The sequence below is a fragment of the Homo sapiens genome, chromosome 18, assembly GCF_000001405.40.
Source record: "Homo sapiens chromosome 18, GRCh38.p14 Primary Assembly".
Taxonomy (NCBI): Eukaryota; Metazoa; Chordata; class Mammalia; order Primates; family Hominidae; genus Homo; species Homo sapiens.
The window spans coordinates 31,817,158-31,831,355 of NC_000018.10; the positions used below are offsets into that span (position 1 = coordinate 31,817,158).

Genomic DNA, 14,198 nt, shown 5'->3' on the forward strand with positions numbered 1-14,198 from the left:
AAATTCAGAATGCTGGTTATTAAAGTTCTTGGAAATTTTAATTATTGAAATTGAGGCTCTTCTTGAGATTTAAAGTGATCAGAGGGCATTGGTCAAAAGAGTTATGGTACCCAATATCTCATTCATCAGTTCATTTCTTCTATTCAATTCAACAAGAATTTCTAGTATGTGTCCTGCATTGTTCTAAGTATTAAGGAATGATATGAAAGAAACAAATCTCACAGTTGATGTGCCAAGCCCCAAGTTTACAATCAAAATAAAGCCTAGAATCTTGAACAGAATTGGTAACTTAAAATAGTGCGGTGGTTGCTATAGAGTGTCGACCTTAAAGAGATTCAAGAAATATGGTTAAATATAGCATTTAGTCAAGCACAAATTTTAAGGATAGGCATCCAGGAACACAGATTCCAAAGAATGGAAGCCAGTGCTCCAAAGTGGAGAAGTTTTGGGGGTCATTTATATAAATAAGGTTTGGGAAGCTTAACAATGTTTCAACATTTTCCACACAAGGCTAGCACACAGTTACAGTAATCTGATTAATTGAGGTGGTGTTCTTTTTGGGAAAGGTATATTTAACATTCCACATTGAGGATATAACAATCATGGAGTCTTCCGCACCATCTGATCTGAGTTAGATGCAAGATAATAAAGGAGGAAAGGCTAGCCATCATCAGGAGGGGGAGGTCTTATGTCTGGCACCATTTAGTCTTTCCTAATTGATTTGCAGAACAAGAACAACGAGAAAGAATGAATCTATAACCTGAGAAGCAGAAATTGCAGCCACATGCATGTGCTCAGACCACACAGTCACATTTCCTTTAAGGCTCAACATAATTTTTAGGCTTCTAAAAATTATAATTAAGTTTGAATTATTTAGGTTTCATACAGCCATTTGAAATCACATCTATTAGAGGGACTTACAGAGGGACTTACGAAGTTCAAATGGAATTTAAGTAAATCATGTTTTAAAATGATACATTTTTTGAGAACTTATTACTGTCAGTCACTGAGCTAAGAAATGTATGGAATTAGGTCAGCCGATCGTCAAAACGACCCATTGAAATAGGAATTATTGTTGCTACACTATACAGATGAAAAAACTCAGATGGCTGGTTAAGTTACTGCCCCAAAGTCTTATATTTGGTAAGGAGGAAAGCCATGGATTGAAAGCTGGGTAGTGTGATTTAGGAACCTTTCAATACTAGCTGTTCCAAGGCAATCTTGTTTGCAGAGATGACAGCCTGTATTAGTCTGTTTTCACACTGCTGTAAAGAAATCCCCGAGACTGGGTAAATTATAAAGGAAAGAGGTTTAATTGACTCACAGTTCTGCACGACTGGTGAGGCCTCAGGAAACTTACAGTCGTGGTGGAAGGTGAAGGGGAAGCAAGGCACCTTCTTCACAAGGCAACAGGAGGGAGAATGAACGCAGGAGGAACTACCGAACACTTATAAAACCATCAGATCTTATGGGAACTCACTCACTATCACAAGAACAGCATGGGGGAAACTGCCCCTGTGATTCAATTACCTCCACCTGGTCTCTCCCTTGACACATGGGGATTATGGGGATTACAATTCAAGATAAGATTTTAGGTGGGGACACAGCCAAACTATATTATAGCCTGTTATTCGCAAGTAAACTCATACATCCAAAAACGTATTATTGTTTAGAAAATATTACAACCTACCTTTAAATTCTTAAAATATTCAAATACTTTCTATAAACTTGATACATCAATCTTGATATCGATTTTGAAATTTAAAGGTACCAGAATATGCCCCACAAAAAATATACCACTTTGACAAGAATTATTTTGAGTTATAGGCAACTGAGAACCAGGAGATGCAGGAAAAGCTTTTTACTTCCCCCTATCTAAAAGGAAAGTATAAAATTTTCCTTTTATAAAGGATATTTATATTTACAAAGGAAATTTCCATTGTAAAGATGTCTCCATACCAAGAAGAGAGGCTCCTGGAGACAACTCTTACCACCTGATATGGTTTGGCTGTGTCCCCACACAAATCTCATCTTGAATTGTAGTTCCCATAATCCCTGTGTGTCATGGAACGGACGAGGTGGGAGGCAATCTAATCATGGGGGTGGTTCCTCTCATGCTGTTCTCGTGAGAGTGAGTGAGTTCACGGGAGACCTGATGGTTGTATAAGGGGCTTTGCCCCCGTTTGCTCAGCACTTCTCCTGCTGCCGCCATGTGAAGAACGACGTGTTTGCTTCCCCTACCACCATGATTGTGAGTTTCCTGAGGCCTCCCCAGCCACGCTGAACTGTGAGTCAATTAGACCTTTTTCCTTTATTAATTACCCAGTCTCAGGTATGTCTTTATTAGCAGCGTGAGAACAAACTAATACACCACCTGAGAGGCTCTTCTCAGCATGACAAAACAACTTTTAGTTACCATGCATTTCCTTCACTCTCCTTCCCAGAACTTGCCCCTAACTCCAGCCCAAATCCCCCTTTCTTTTGTTTAGCCTAAAATGGTATATAAGTTTCAGTCATCTGGCCACCTCCTCGGGCCACATTTTTTCTTTGTGAACTCCTCCAAACTCTGCTATGTGTTACCTCATATAATGCTAATTTCAACATTTTAAAGGCAAAGGGTATGGACAACATTGATGCAAACTTGCACTCCTAGTGCCCTCTAGTGGATATAGTTGGTTTCAGTTATCACTTGGTAGGTTTTAGTGAAACTTTCCATAAAAAGGAATGCTCTGTCACTATACTCTCTCCTCTCTCCTTTCTCTTCCTCTATTTTTTGGTCTTGTCCATGTTCCCAAGATACACTGACAATGTTACTCAGTGTTAATGCTAATAAAACTCTATTTACAAAACAGGTGTTTATTTAGAAAAATAGCCGTACCCATTTATTTGTGTCTGGTGGTTTTTGTGCTGAAACAAAAGAGCTGAGTAGTTGCAACAAAGACTCTATGACCTGCAAGGCCTAAAATATGTATTATCTGTCATTTTACAAAAAAAGTTCACTAACCTCTAATCATGGGACATATCACTAGTTCTGAAAGATGCTTTGGCTAGGAAAGGCTATTCCCTAGTTGAATATGTTTGGGAAATCCTCCATTAACATATTAAGCAGTAAAGAAACCTCTTTAATTTTAATTCTATATTTATTTACTTAGTTTACTCTGGGAATTCTTTTTTTCACCTAAGACCTATTAATATCGTATTCAATGAAACGTATTTTGGGAAATATTACTTTATAATATTGTGTTTTCTTGGAGTCAACAATTCTGTTTTTCACAGTAGAAGAATTGCTTTCTAAAGAATAGCACTATGCTTAGCTTTCATTTATTAAATAACAATATTTTAAAAATCCATTTTCAGCTGGTTATTAAATAACAATATTTTAAAAATCCATTTTCAGCCGGGCGCAGTGGCTTGCGCCTGTAATCCCAGCACTTTGGGAGGCTGAGGCAGGTGGATCACCTGAGGCCAGGAGTTCGAGACCAGCCTGGCCAACATGGTGAAACCCTGTCTCTACTAAAAACACAAAAATTAACCTGGCGTGATGGCGCACACTTGTAATCCCAGCTACTTGGGAGGCTGAGGCAGGAGAATCACTTGAACCCTGGAGGCAGAAGTTGCAGTGAGCCCAGATTGTACCACTGCACTCCAGCCTAGGCAACGAGAGTGAAACTCTGCTTGAAACAAAAAAAAGGGGGAAAAAAAATTCATTTAATCTTGTTATTCTGGAATTTTTTTTTTCTGTTACACTGCTCTTTCTTTGTTATCTTCTGCTTTTTTTTTTTTTTTTTTTTTTTGAGACAGTCTTGCCCTGTTGCCCAGGCTGGAATGCAGTGGCGTGATCTCAGCTCACTGCAGCCTCTGCCTCCCGGGTTCCAGTGATTCTGCTGCCTCAGTCTCCTGGGTAGCTGGGATTACAGGCACATGCCACCAGGCCCAGCTAATTTTTGTATTTTTTGTAGAGACGGGGTTTCACCATGTTGGCCAGGCTGGTCTCAAACTCCTGAACTTAGGTGATCCGCCTGCCTCGGCCTCCCAAAGCACTGGGATTACAGGCATGAGCCACCATGCCTGGCCTGTTGTCTTCTTTATTCATTCATTTAGTTTTTGAGCATGGTCAATTTTTAAATGCTTAATTATGCACCTCGAATATTCAGAAGAAAATGCACTTCTAAAATGATTTTCCGTGATTATTAATGCAGGATTCCACAAAATATGGAAATTAAAAAAGAGTAGGAGTAGAAACTAGCCCTCCTTTTAATAGAAATTTCATACCGTGCCAAAAGCAGCTAGTTCACCTTTTAACAAATAATTAGGCCTAACTGTTGAGGGTTGAGTAAAGCAAAGTGAGTTTACAAAGGAGACTGAGGTAGGGCACGATGGCTCATGCCTGTAATCCCATGTAGGCCCATGCCTGGCCCAAATGGTGAAACCCCATCTCCACCAAAAATGCAAAACTTAGCTGACGTGGTGGCACATGCCTGTGAGAGAGGAGATAAAAAGAAACTAGTTAGGCAGATGGTTAGGGCAAAGAGTCCTTGGCAGAACTTCCCTTCTAACAAAAAGCAGCGCAAGAAATCACTTCTCTTCTAACAAAGAGCAGCCTGGAAGATCAGGCTGCAAACAAAGATAAGGAAGCAGCTCCGGCAAAGAAGGGGAGCTTCCTGGGTAATCAGTAAGCTTCACTTACATACGGTGGGTCCCAGTAAGCACATTCCTTTCCTGTTTTGGACATACTCAGATAAGGAAGCTGGAAGTTTGCATGGAATATGCCTGCAGCTGCACCGATAGGAAGGGTTACCTGGTGCCAGGCACGTCAACCACGGGGGCTTCACCTTCCCCTTTTTTTAAGCACATGCACAGTAGGAAAGAGATAAGCAACATGGAGTAGCTCAGGCCAAGGACCCGCCTACATAATAAAAGGTTGGGGTGGAGCTACCAGACATTCATGCTTTATGCAAATGAGATGCCCAGCCCTCAACAGTTTCTTATAATTCAACTGTAGAAGGGGCAACACTTTTTGGGACACCTCTCTGCAGCAGAGAGCTGTTCTCTTTCTTTCGCATATTAAACTTCTGCTCTAACCTCACCCTTGGTTTGTCCATGTCCTTGATTTCCTCAGCCATGAGATCAAGAACTTTGGGTGCCACCCAGGCAATGAGGCCATTTCACCTGTAGTCCCAGCTACTCTGGAAGCTGAGGTGGGAGGATTGCTTGAGCCCGGGAGGTTGAGGTTGCAGTGAGCCAAGATCATGCCACTGCACTCCAGCCTCAGCAACAGAGCAAAACCCTATCTTAAAAAAAAAAGGAGACTGAAACGAGTATCAGGAATGTTAGAGGAAAACCAGAAGTGTGCCCATCACACTTTTATTTCCATGCTTCCATAGAATCTTCAGTTAATAATCATGGAAAATCATCTTCAAAGTGCCTTTTCTGTGTCTGTTGTGACAGCCAAGATGAGAGTGTCCCTTTTTTCAACTGGAATATGGAGAAAAACAGAGAAGACAGGGCTGAACAATTTTACCGGCAACTCATTTTTATAAGAAAAAAATAATCTTGCAATAAAGCAGGGTGGAGGTAAAATATTCAGCATCAATTTCTGTATCTGCTAATCTTGGTTGGCTGAAAAGTAGCAAAGGCTAAAATTAGTTGTATATATAAGTTTTGATCATAAGATAAATTACTGGAACACAGTATTACTACAGTACCATCTTGCAAATAGTTGGTCAAGAAACTCCTTTTAAAAATGAGTTTAACCAGGCATGGTGGTGCATGCCTGTAGTCCTAAGCTACTTGAGAGGCTAAAGTGGGAGGATCACTTGAGCCCAGGAGTTGAAGACCAGCCTTACCACATAACAAGACCCTGTCTTAATATATTTTTTTAAATAAGTTTAGAAACCAGACTAGGTATGTATAGAAAATAATACAAGAAAAAAAGGAAGAAAGAAGAAGAAAAATTGTCTGAATGATGTTATGGAGCAGACAAAATATGTAACCAAAGATATACCCATAAAAATTTTAAAACTAACACTTAAGGAAACATTTCGCTTTACATAACAAGAGTACAAGGCAGATATATAAGATTACAGAGACAAGATGATAATAATGACATGAAAAAAGTGAAAAATAAAAATATAACCAGGGTACCTAACCCTGGGTGGTTATTTAGCCTTTGAAAAACACAGGTCAGGCCATATTCTAAAGTGGCTACCAAAAGACTTTCAAATATCAGCTGTCTCAATAGCACTAGTGAGTTTATTAATCAACATTGTTGACAAAAAGAAAAGCAAACTCTGTAAAATATTTAAAGCTGTTTATTTCCAGCTAATATGCGTGACTGTGGCCCTAGGGATAGTCTCGGGAGGTCCTGAGAAAGGGTGCCGGAGGCAGTAGGGTTACAGTTTGGTTTTATACATTTTGGGGAGACAGAAGTTACAGGCAAAGACATAAATCAATACATGGAATACATAAATTATATATACATTGGTTCAGCCCAGAAAGGCAGAACATCTTGAAGTGGGGGCCTCACGGGTTATAGGTGGATTCAAAGATTTTCTGATTGGCATTTGGTTGAAGGAGTTAAGCTTTGTCTAAAGATTTGAAGTCAGTAGGAAGAAATAGTTAAGGTAAGGAGGGTTGTGGAAGCCAAGGTTCTTTTATGTAGATGAAGCCTCCAGGCAGCCGACTTCAGACAGAACAGATGATAAATGTCTCTTTTCAGACCTTAAAATGTGTCAGGCTCTTAGTTAATCTCTCCTATATCTGAGAAAGGCCTGGCTGTAATAATGAAGATTTTCTATGGATGCAAACTTCCCCTACAAAAGACACCTTTGCAGGGCCATTTAAAAATATGTCAAAGAAATATATTTTGATGTAAAATGTTTTTATTTCCCTCATGGTCTGCTGTCATGGGATGCTATACCAGTCAGATTGCAATTTGGTACCGTATTGCCAGAGGCTGTTTTGTCAGTCTTGTGTTCTCTAATTTAATGTTAATGCTGGTCAGCTATGTCTGAACTCCAAAAGAGAGGAGGTATAACAAGGTGTGTTTGACTTCCCTTCCTGTCATGGCCTGGAATTTAGTTTTTCAGGAGTTTCTGGGATCCCCTTGGCCAAGCCTAAAAGTCTGTTCAGTCGGTTGGGGGCTTAGAATTTTATTTTTGATTTATAACTTTAAGGAGATATGAGTGGTGTTCAAACTAGGTGTTTGACCAGAGATATTGTACAAACTCCTACATGCTTGGATGAAGTGGCTTAAGAATCTAGTTAGGGGCCGGGTGCAGTGGCTCATGCCTGTAATTCCAGCACTTAGGGAGGCTGAGGCAGGTGGATCAATTGAGGCCAGGAGTTTGAGACCAACATGGCCAACATGGTGAAATCCTGTCTCTATTAAAAATGCAAAAATTAGCCAGGCGTGGTGGTATGCACCTGTAGCCCCAGCTACTTGGGAGGCTGAGGTGGGAGGATCTCATGAGCCCAGGAGGCAAAGGTTGCATTGAGGCAAGATCACAGCACTGCACTCCACTCTGGGCGACACAGTGAGACCCTGTCTTAAAAAAAAAAAAAAAAAAATCTAGTTAGGCCAGTAGCCCATACCTGTCAGAGGAACTTGAACCAGAGAGACTCCATTTTGAGTGAGGTTTAGGAAAATGAGGCTGAGACTGGCTAGGCCGCATTCTCAGAAAAAACAGGCATTCCTAGCCTCTAGACATTTACAGTTAAGGGAACAAATTAATAATGCTTACTAAAACAGACCCAGACTTGGGAATGTCCCGATATCCTGATGTCTGGAGAACAAAGACATTCCTAATTTTGCTTTAAAGATGATAATAACGATTCTTGCAAAATATAGTAATTAAGAAAATTAATTCTTTAACACAAACCCTTGTGGCAGAACACATCTCCCCACATATACAAGCATTGTACCTAGGATGGATGTGTTCCTCCTCTTACTTTCGGGAACGTCCTACTCTATGTATGGAGTAGCTGTCCTTTCACTTTACTTTCCTAACAAACTCCCTTTTGCTTTGCACTGTGGACTTGCCCTGAATTCTTTCTTGGGAGAGATCCAAGAATCCTCTCTTGGAGTCTGGATCGGAACCCTTTTCCTGTAACATACCCATTGGAGTGGCATGCTCCACCCAAGGCTAAAATTCAGTCCTGGTTCTGGTCACTAAGCTATCAGAGGGTTCTGTCCCTTGATTCCTTGTTGTCCATCATATCCGAATTGAGTGACCCCTTCTGCCAAAAGGTAGGGAATTGGAATTTCCCCAAGCATCTAAGTAATCATATGATTGCCTTGTTAATATGAAGTATTTGTATATGTGGCCAAACTCATTGTAACATACTAGTGGGTAGACAGCCTGAGAGGAGGAGAGCTGTAGTGGATGTGAATACACATCCCAGTGTTAGTGATACAGCACTGATGAGTGGAGGAACACCAGGGCTCTTGTCTCACGCGAATTAGATGAAATGACAGACACACGTGGAGTGGTTTTTAAGGAGTGAAGACTTTAATAAGCAAGAAAGAAGGGAGAAAACAGAGGGAAGAAGCTCCCCCGTATAGAGACAGAGGGAGGGGGACTCCAAAGCCGAGAGAGGAGACCCCCAAGTGCGGTGGATACCAGCCAGTTATATGAGGAGGCTGAAGGAGGCAGTGTCTGATTTGCATAGGGCTCAAGGGATTGGTTTGACCAGGCATGTCATTCATGTAGCCCACAAAAACTGGCCCTCCCACCCTAGCCTTTTAATATGCAAATGAAGGGCACCGTGATGTTCTACACACATGGGGATATGTGGGGGTGGCCACATTGCCAGGCACATGGGAGCAAGGGCAAGAGAACAACGGTGGGAATCACCATGTTTGGGGGGATCCAGTTTCTAATGGACTGTATTTGCATATCAAAGGTTGGCAGCCCAGCTGTAAGACCTGGGGCTTTCCTGCTAGATGAGAAAGGTTTCTGGAGCTACTTTAAAAGAAACAACTTAGCTGCTTTAAAAGAAACAACTTTCGTGGCTGGGGGAGGGATAGCATTAGGAGAAATACCTAATGTAAATGGTGAGTTGATGGGTGCAGTTAACCAACATGATACATGTATGCCTATGTAACAAACCTGCACGTTGTGCACATGTACCTTAGAACTTAAAAGTATAATAATAAAAAAAGAAACAACTTTCCAAGGACCCCTTTTCCTATCTGCCTGAAATAATTTATTAATAACTCCTACCACATGAGGCTCGGAATATGATACCCCGAAATATGGCCCTTTGACATGCTGAACTAAAGCAGCAGCCTCAAGGTCTTTCTACCTCCCACCTCCACACTGACTCTACCCCAGCCCTATTTCTCCTAAAGCACAGGATAAGGTTTTTCTCTGATAGTCCTTTATCTACCTTAAGACTGGACTCACCAGAGGGACTGCCCCCTCTTCCCTCTCTGAAATCTCATTTTCTATCTCAGAAAAGACTGAGGAATGAAACCACACCTGGAAAGACTTTTACACAAGATAATGTTTGTCACACGCGTCCGTGTGAAGAGATCACCAAACAGGCTTTGTGTGAGCAACAAGGTTGTTTATTTCACCTGGGTGCAGGCGGGCTGAGTCCGAAAAAGGAGTCAGCGAAGGGAGATGGTGCGGGGGCAGTTTTACGGGATTTGGAAAATTACAGTCAAAGGTGTTGAGTCAAAGGGGTTGCTCTCTGGCAGGCAGGAGCAGGGGTCACAAGGTGCTCAGTGGGGGAGCTTCTGAGCCAGAAGGATTTTCACAAGGTAACGTCATCAGTTAAGGCAGGAACCAGCCATTTTCACTTCTTTTGTGATTCTTCAGTTGCTTCAGGCCATCTGGATGTATATGTGCAGGTCACAGGGGATATGATGGCTTAGCTTGGTCTCAGAGGCCTGACAATGTTTGCCTCTTGGGCTCATTGAAATTCCAGAGAGTCATTTACAAGTTACTGCCTCCAGGTCCATTCACTCCCACTAATTATCATTTACTACTCCTCAAAATTGCCACACCTCCATCTCCCTTTCTTCTATGAAGTAGTACGCATCTGGATCTCACTGGGTTACTGGGAAATTGTTCTCATGTGACTCCCCTGTGCTTAAGCAGGTTAAATAAGTTTCACATGTCTTCTTCTATGATCAGCTTGCTGTCAGTTTATTTTCAGTGAACCTTTTGAAGGCAGAGGGGAAGCTTTCCCTTGGCCCCTACAGCTTGGTGCCCAGAACAGACCCAGTTTATCCCATTGTCCCCATAATTGTAATTGTTAATAGTGCCCTCTTTCACTCTCAAAATGTCTCTTTTGGGATGAAAACTTATGTGGTCATCCTCTCTATAACTCTCATCTACCTATACCTAGTAGAGACTACATGTATCGGCCCAAAATAACCTAGTAATTGTGAATGGCAAAATAGGCCAACCAACACCAAAAGCTTGTAAGAGTTCATAGTTCTGATCAAAAGCCAAGAAATAATAAAATTGATAGGCAGGCTGGGATTGTCAACCCCAGCCTTATCAAGTGTTTAACCTAACTGAACAAATGCGCTACTAGAAACTCAATTTTCATTTCAATATCCTTGAAGTAGAAAAGTAGTCTTTGAACAAATCACTGTATCTTAGAGGCATGTGTTTAAAATACTGGCCTAGCTACCAAGAACTTTTAAAGATTGACATTTCCATGATGTGCCTGACAATTTAATCGACCTTATAAAGTGCTTCTCAGGCTTCCTGGGACAATGTTTCCCAAAGTGTACTATGCAGATCCGTTCTTCAGAACCGGGGCTTGTTAAAATCCCAAGATTTAAAAACAACAAATGAAAACAAATGGAAATTAACAACAAAAACAAAGTTTCATCCCCAAACCAGACCAACGAAATTGGGTTCAGAAGGTAGAACCTCTGGTATTACATTTTTATTAACTCCCTAATGATTATGCTCCTCCTACATTTTGAGAACCATTGCCCCACTGGGTTCTAAAAGCTGCAAGATTCCATAAGATACCTTAGTTCTTGACCAGCTGCAATGTAGATGTCGGAACATTTCTCATGGTCTACGCCCAGAGGTATGCTGATGAATGTTTATCAAATTATTCTCCAGGGGAAAAAATCTTTTAAACTGCTAAAGTTTGTGTAGCACACACTTTACAAGTAACAATAAAATATGCAATACTCTTTATTGTAAATTCCAAAAAGCCAATTGATTCTCAGAGAAGTTTTTTTTTTTTTTGAGGCGGAGTCTCGCTCTTTCGCCCAGGCTGGAGTGCAGTGGCGCTATCTCGGCTCACTGCAAGCTCCGCCTCCCGGGTTCACGCCATTCTCCTGCCTCAGCCTCCCCGAGTAGCTGGGACTACAGGTGCCCGCCACCGCGTCCGGCTAATTTTTTGCATTTTTAGTAGAGACAGGGTTTCACCGTGTTACCCAGGATGGTCTCGATCTCCTGACCTCGTGATCCACCCGCCTCGGCCTCCCAAAGTGCTGGAATTACAGGCGTGAGCCACCGCGCCCGGCCACTCAGAGTAGTTTCTTTGATTTTTGCTGAGCTCTTGTATAGAAAACCAACCTATGTTGCAATTGATAAGCGAGAATAATTTTAGTATGAATGCTGGTTGATATTTCTGTTTACATTAACGAGGAAGAGGAAGTGAGAAAACACATGTTGGATCTTCACTAGTTCATCAGTGATACGGGCAACTTCTTTGTTGAACTGGGTAAAACTTTTCAGATACTGCAGGAATATTTTCCTAAACTATTTGTGCTACTCGTTACAGCTACAAATATGCAACACTTTTAATATGCATCACTAACATTTTCTCCATCACTTTCTTAGGTCTAGCGTAGACAACAAAAATAAATAAATCAAGCCCTGGTGTGTAGCATTTGCTGGTTTTCCTGAGGTAAACATTCTACTATCATTGATTTCAAGCTACCAGCAAGTCACTGAATGTAGGGTTGGCAAGAGATGAGCAGAAACACACCATTGTGTAGTATTTCCAGGATACAGATAAAATAGACATAAATAATCCTGAGTAATATTCAGGAAGTAATTTTGAGTGCTTTATTACCTTTATTTTTAATATATTCAGTTGTAGGTTTATATAGTTTAATTTTTTTATTAGTGTCTGTTTAACAATCGGTTCAATTTAATATTCAGCTGAGTGGTTTAAATATGAGATACCACTGTGATTATGCCTCCTCATTCTTGTCTTTCCTCCTCAGACTTTTTATAAGCCCATGGCCCTAAACTCTCAAGAAGGAAATGAGTGTCCTTAGAATGTGACCTTCCTCTCCAACTTGTCCCACACCTGCTAAGACACAGAGTGGAAGGAGCTGAAAAGCCAGAGACCCACTTAAGATCCAGAAGCATAAGCAGCAGTTGCAGAGAGGCACACAGACTAGCCACCCATCTCTCAAGAAGAGTTGTTCCAAGTACAGGTTTGGAATCTTCAGTCTGAAAACGGGGTCTTTTGATCTCTCCCCACTTTGGTGCAGTCTGCTCCGATTAGTGCCGAGATTGAGACTGGAACAAACCATGGTAGCTGTCAATGGCACAAGGACCCCATCTGCTCCAGACTTGACTGACCCTGGCTCTTGTACTCCCTGCCACCCACTCCTACACCCTGTCTTCCCTCCTTCTCCAATGACAAGAGATATTCATTGAAACAACCTTGCTCCCATTTCTCTATCTGCAGCAGGGCTGAATTGAAATTTCTTATGTCCAAATGCCCATTCTCTGAATAAAAAAATATTTTGAAACCAGACTTTCTAATCAACAGATACTAATACGCTATACAGTGAATAGCATGTCTTTATTCTATTTACAGTATATTTGTTATAAATATAATACATTTTTGAAAAGCTTATTTTTAATTAACTTGAGATTTATATTTTAAACAGATCAACTCAATAGTTAACGTTATATAATAAAGAATATGGTAATTTTAATGACAAAAATCGTATTGTGAAATAGCGCACTCTATACTGAGATGAATGAGGGGAAAAAAGTCAAAACTCCTTTCAAAACTATATTCAAAGCATCAGAAAAAATTTTTTTTTCTTTTTACAAAGTTATGTATAAGTCATAGGGACCACCAAATACTGAAATATGAAGACTCTATGACCAAAGTTCAAAACTGATTTTAAGGAACTGTGTGAAGCAAGACAGGAAAATTTGTATTTAACACTCTATAGAACTTCACAGTAAAGCTGGAATTTAGAGACTAATGGCTTAACAGGAGTACTGCCAACAAGGCCTTTCCTTTCTCAGAATCATCTCCTAATATTCGTATACCATTGACAAGTTGTAACAGCAGACTTAGACTTTGTGTTTTCTTAAGATGGGGCTTAATAAGGTGCACAAATATGCTGATATCCTGTATTATGAGCATGTAAATTATTCTCAGGGTTTAAAGAAATACAGAAAAAGAATGTTAAGTATTCTCAGTCCAACGTGCTTTGCATCATCAACAAAATGACAAGTCAAAGTATTTTGCAGGGATCAGATATCAATCAACCTCCATAACAAGTTAGGTATATCAAATACTGCTGTAAAACCCATCCAGCAAAAACTGATTATTGTGGATTTCAGTACAAATTTCCAAGTTGTCACACATTACTGATGATGATCAGGGCAGGCATGGAATTCTGCTGACTTGTTTCAAACACTGTAACTTGGTCCGATAACTTGGCAAATACCCTAGGAGTTCCAAGGTTATAAACACCTGTATGAACAAAGCATGCTTTCAGCTGCAGACTGTGAATCTCCTGGCTTTTAAGTTGAAGTTTATACTGTGTTTGTCCAAGCCATGTGAATGATCCATGGATTTCCAGTGCTTCTGGACTAAGGGAGGAGGAAAATGTAAGTTGCAGGATTTTTTTCTTTTTAATTTTTTTCCCAAAGTCACATTAACATATCCCTTTCAGCTGGGCGCGGTGGCTCACGCCTGTAATCCCAGCACTTTGGGAGGCTGAGGCAGGTGGATCACCTGAGATCAGGAGTTCAAGACCAGCCTACCAACATAATGAAGCCCCGTCTCTACTAAAAATACAAAATTAGCCAGGTATGGTGGTGCACGCCTGTAATCCCAGCTACTCAGGAGGCTGAGGCAGGAGAGTCACTTGAACCTGGGAGGCGGAGGTTGCAGTGAGCTGAGATTGCACCACTGCACTCCAGCCCATGAGAGAGCAAGACTCCATCTCAAGAAGA

General features: G+C 40.9%; 1 protein-coding gene across 7 annotated transcripts in view, besides 4 other annotated features; it reads right to left on the reverse strand.

Annotated features, from left to right (window-relative positions):
- Window positions 2,255-2,755: an enhancer, noted in NCBI's record as "H3K27ac hESC enhancer chr18:29399375-29399875 (GRCh37/hg19 assembly coordinates)". NCBI's record gives its function as "activates a minimal SCP1, AML or CMV promoter by ChIP-STARR-seq in naive H9 embryonic stem cells {active_cell/tissue: H9 hESC(naive)}" and the evidence as "EXISTENCE:reporter gene assay evidence [ECO:0000049][PMID:30033119]".
- Window positions 8,611-9,156: an enhancer, noted in NCBI's record as "OCT4-NANOG-H3K27ac-H3K4me1 hESC enhancer chr18:29405731-29406276 (GRCh37/hg19 assembly coordinates)". NCBI's record gives its function as "activates a minimal SCP1, AML or CMV promoter by ChIP-STARR-seq in primed H9 embryonic stem cells {active_cell/tissue: H9 hESC(primed)}" and the evidence as "EXISTENCE:reporter gene assay evidence [ECO:0000049][PMID:30033119]".
- Window positions 9,157-9,702: an enhancer, noted in NCBI's record as "NANOG-H3K27ac-H3K4me1 hESC enhancer chr18:29406277-29406822 (GRCh37/hg19 assembly coordinates)". NCBI's record gives its function as "activates a minimal SCP1, AML or CMV promoter by ChIP-STARR-seq in primed H9 embryonic stem cells {active_cell/tissue: H9 hESC(primed)}" and the evidence as "EXISTENCE:reporter gene assay evidence [ECO:0000049][PMID:30033119]".
- Window positions 9,703-10,248: an enhancer, noted in NCBI's record as "NANOG-H3K27ac-H3K4me1 hESC enhancer chr18:29406823-29407368 (GRCh37/hg19 assembly coordinates)". NCBI's record gives its function as "activates a minimal SCP1, AML or CMV promoter by ChIP-STARR-seq in primed H9 embryonic stem cells {active_cell/tissue: H9 hESC(primed)}" and the evidence as "EXISTENCE:reporter gene assay evidence [ECO:0000049][PMID:30033119]".
- The window catches only part of TRAPPC8 (trafficking protein particle complex subunit 8), a 113,932-nt gene continuing 111,773 nt past the window's right edge, over window positions 12,040-14,198 (reverse strand). For all 7 annotated transcript variants that reach the window (XM_017025616.3, NM_014939.5, XM_005258234.4 and 4 more), the window contains one exon: window positions 12,040-13,832. In XM_017025616.3, the coding sequence (XP_016881105.1) occupies window positions 13,598-13,832 (235 nt within the window). In that variant the 3' untranslated portion in view covers window positions 12,040-13,597. The remainder of the gene's footprint in view (window positions 13,833-14,198) is intronic.